Raw genomic sequence first — 4165 nt, 5'->3', positions numbered from 1 at the left:
TTCAGTTTGGTTTAGAGTATTAGAATAACACAAATTTCAAATAATCTTTGACATAAAGACACAATGTTAAATGATCTACCTGCCATCAGTATTAGAAAAGAAGCAAACATGTGAACATGCTGATAGCGACTTTCCAGGGTCTGATCCTTTATGAATGCGCCAGTTCTTTTCCAGCCTGATTACTCTGCCATTCACTGGAGCCTATCTTGTCTGGAGCTGTCACGCTTGGTCTTTGACATTAACAATAAGATTAGAGCCAGCACTGACTGTCACAAAAACAGCAGGAGCCTAGAAAGATAGTAGGAAGTTCGCTCGGATGCAATTACATTTAAAGGGAGACCACTAAATCCATACTTACAGAAAATCATTCCCCAGCTTTACTGAGGGGAAAAAAATTACTGAATTTTTACACACTTTAAGTTGACAGCATGAAAGAAGTAAACAATATAATGTGATAGCTATTAGATTGTTAATTGGTTACAGTTAATGCATCTTTGTTCAGGTGTTGAAAATCTCTAAATAAATTTACATAATCCATAATAAGTAAAGAATAATTTAAATTAGCTTAAAGCTTCCCTTTGTGCTTGACAATACATAATTTCTGAACATAAAGCCATGTAAGTTTATACTATCCTTCCTCATTCCCCCATTTATTTGACCAGTGTTTACATCAGAGAAGGAACCATATTCAGAAAATCAACAATATCGGGTCCTTCTTTTTTTAAGCAAACATATTTTTATTTTTAATATCAAAATCTATATATGAGGTTGTTTTTATACTTTATATCCAAATTTTATACTTTATATGAAATAATATTTTTCCTAGTGAGCCTATCTTAACTTGAAGTAATGGTATTGCTTAATATTGATATTTTCTGATAAAATATAATGAATTATGGCAAACTGCCATGGAGTTAATGAGGAATTCAGGATCACACACAATAAGCTGAGATCATTGTAAAAACAATGTTCAAAATAATATTGTCAATACTAATACTAGTTTTTCTTCTTTGTAATGAATTACCACACATTTAGAGGCTTAAGCTAATATACTTTTGTTATCTTATAGACACTACAGGATAACAGGAGTCCAGATGCAGCTTAGTTGGTTCTATGCTAATGTAGTCTGATCATTATTAGATTATTGAGATTAAACCCTCATAATGCTTCAATCAAGAACATTTGCTGGACTGCATTCCTATCTGGAGGCTTGACTGGCAAGAATCTGTTTTCTATATCATTCATGTACTTGGGATAATTTATACTCTGGAAGCTATCGGTGGTGGGGGGTTCTTGCTGGTTACGGGTTGGGGGCACTCACCTCCTCTAGGCCACAGTTTTTTGTCATGTGTTCCTCTCAGAGGCCTTCTTACAAATGGCAACATAAAACTTCCAAGTCAGCAAGGAAGTCTATCTCACTCATCTGCTTAATAGTGAATTTTACATAGTGTAACCCAATAAAGGGAGTAACAGCCCCTCGCTTTTGCCATATTTTGTTCATTAGATGCAATTCACAGCTTCCATCCTCATTCAACAGTGTGACACATTGGTAATCACCAGAGGGTGTGTGCTAAACAGTACTTTTAAAGAAGTTTTGTTTTGTCAAAAGTGATTGTGATTTTAAAATAATAAGAAAGATAAACAAATGGATAGATAGGAGAATTCATCTGTACTCTGGATATGATTGAGTTTTTAGAGCAGAAGAATTTCTAGTTCAGGGAATTTTTGAGGGAAAAGTTCAGCCAAATCTCACAGAGCCATATCTCACAGGTCAGCCATAGTTGGAAGTTTATGTGTTTAATAATCTTTTAAGCATAAAGCATATCATCTTTCAGCATAGGAACTGTGCTGCATTCCATTCGCTTTTCCAAATTTACTCTCCACCCTTTGGTAGCATGTTCTGTGCCTCAGGAAGCTAAACTTTATGGATAGCAGCAATGGAGTCACTGGCTTTCTGATTTCCACTTGTATTTGGCCAAAACGAGACACCTGAAAAAGATCCAAATGAAAGAAGAAAATGAAGTAGAATTCGTATTTTTTTTCCTTTGGATCCCCAAACTCCTAATTGTCAGTTTTTGTACTACTCTTCCTGTTTTGTAGTGACCACTCCTACTTTCTGCTTCTACAGGCCAAAGGATAGTTTCATAAGGTTATTGACCATGCTCTAAGCCCGTGTTAGTTCCTATATATTTATAAATAGTCCTAACGGGAAATACGAGATCTTTGGATATGACTGTTTATTATTCACAGAGTATCTAAGAATCAATTCCCCATGTCACAGTTTTCCATGGGGTGAGATGATAAGAGCCAAATGTTCACCTATTCACACAGTGAGGTTGCACCACTAAAGGAGATCCCAGAAATTATGAGACTCAGAGCTTACACATGGGGGCTGATGGGGGCCTGTCCTCCTTTAGGAAAGAAATCTTTACTCAGGGATGAAAAAAAAAATGATAACTTTTTGGAGAAAAGGTGAAAGTCTCCCTAAAATGTAAGCAAGTTGCTCTGGGAGAGTTAAGTATGTAAATATCCAAAAAGAATGCATAATCTCTAATTTTCAAGTCACGATTGCTGTCAGGCCTCTGAGCCCAAGCCAAGCCATCACATCCCCTGTGACTTGCATGTATATGCCCAGATGGCCTGAAGTAACTGAAGAATCACAAAAGAAGTGAATATGCCCTGCCCCACCTTGACTGATGACATTCCACCACAAAAGAAGTGTAAATGGCCAGTCCTTGCCTTAACTGATGACATTACCTTGTGAAAGTCCTTTTCCTGGCTCATCCTGGCTCAAAAAGCACCCTCACTGAGCACCTTGCGACCCCCACTCCTGCCCGCCAGAGAACAACCCCCCTTTGACTGTAATTTTCCTTTACCTACCCAAATCCTATAAAACGGCCCCACCCTTATCTCCCTTCGCTGACTCTCTTTTCGGACTCAGCCCGCCTGCACCCAGGTGAAATAAACAGCCATGTTGCTCACACAAAGCCTGTTTGGTGGTCTCTTCACACGGACGCGCATGAAAATTGCCATTAAATTATCCCTCAACAAAGTTGACTGTGCTCTTATCAGTGTATACATGGAGATTTCTAACCCAAAACTCTTTATTCAATTTTTTAGCATTTATCTCAAGCTTTTTCTTGCTTGGATCTTGTTTAATACAGCTTTTAAGTAATCAAATTGATATTTGAATATTTCACTCGTGTCCGTGTGAAGAGACCACCAAACAGGCTTCGTGTGAGCAATAAACACACCAAACAGGCTTTGTGTAAGGCAGGAACAGGCCATTTTCACTTCTTTCGTGGTGGAATGTCATCAGTTAAGGCAGGAACCGGCCATCTGGATGTGTACATGCAGGTCACCGGGGATATGATGGCTTAGCTTGGGCTCAGAGGCCTGACAATATTTGTTGAGCATATCATTCCTCTATGACTCCAAAAAAATTGCTGTGAGCAAGGAATAAGGATACCTTACTGTTCTCAAATACACTATTTCTGTTTTAGGAGACTTTCTTTAGTTCAATATCTTAAGCCTTCACCTAGACTATAATAGGAACACAGACATTTTATTTTCCCAACAAAAATATTTTGGAATTTATTTGTGTATAACTATTAGATTTAAAAGTATAAATTAATAGTTATAAATATGGCATTTTATAGATAAATTTTCCATTTATCTTTTATAAAATCCTGTTTACCCTCTTATTTTTCTTTCCAAGAACACAGAACAAATTCATTTTATAGCCTCACTTTGATTTATGTTGGGACTTTATACCTGTTCAATGCAATATGATTGCAATTGATATGACTCAGCTACAGACTTGGTCCATAAAAACAACTTGTTCTATCCTCAGATGTTTCTTCAGCCAGGTGTTTAATATGGCAGTGTCAAAGATGGATGGAGAATAAATTTCTAGATCAACACTGGGAGGATATATACCAAACTGAGTTTCTCTTTAGCTTTGAATTATGATGTAAGTAAGAAAGAAAATTTTATATTCTTAAGCCATTGACATTTGGACTTGTTTTAAAAAAGAGCAACAACTAAATTAAATTACTCTAACTAAACACCAACCTTTTTTATACCACCCTTTATTGAGCAAAACACAAATATATTGACAACACCTATAAAGCTATTATAGATACTGGCAAATTAGTTAGGTCAG

General features: G+C 36.6%; 1 annotated feature.

The window, feature by feature from the left end:
• Nucleotides 2268-3019: an enhancer, noted in NCBI's record as "OCT4-NANOG-H3K27ac hESC enhancer chr13:69771203-69771954 (GRCh37/hg19 assembly coordinates)". NCBI's record gives its function as "activates a minimal SCP1, AML or CMV promoter by ChIP-STARR-seq in naive and primed H9 embryonic stem cells {active_cell/tissue: H9 hESC(naive and primed)}" and the evidence as "EXISTENCE:reporter gene assay evidence [ECO:0000049][PMID:30033119]".

Source organism: Homo sapiens, chromosome 13, assembly GCF_000001405.40.
Source record: "Homo sapiens chromosome 13, GRCh38.p14 Primary Assembly".
NCBI classification, from domain to species: Eukaryota; Metazoa; Chordata; class Mammalia; order Primates; family Hominidae; genus Homo; species Homo sapiens.
The sequence above is the reverse complement of the archived record's forward strand: the minus strand, read 5'-3'. Positions and strand labels throughout refer to the sequence as shown.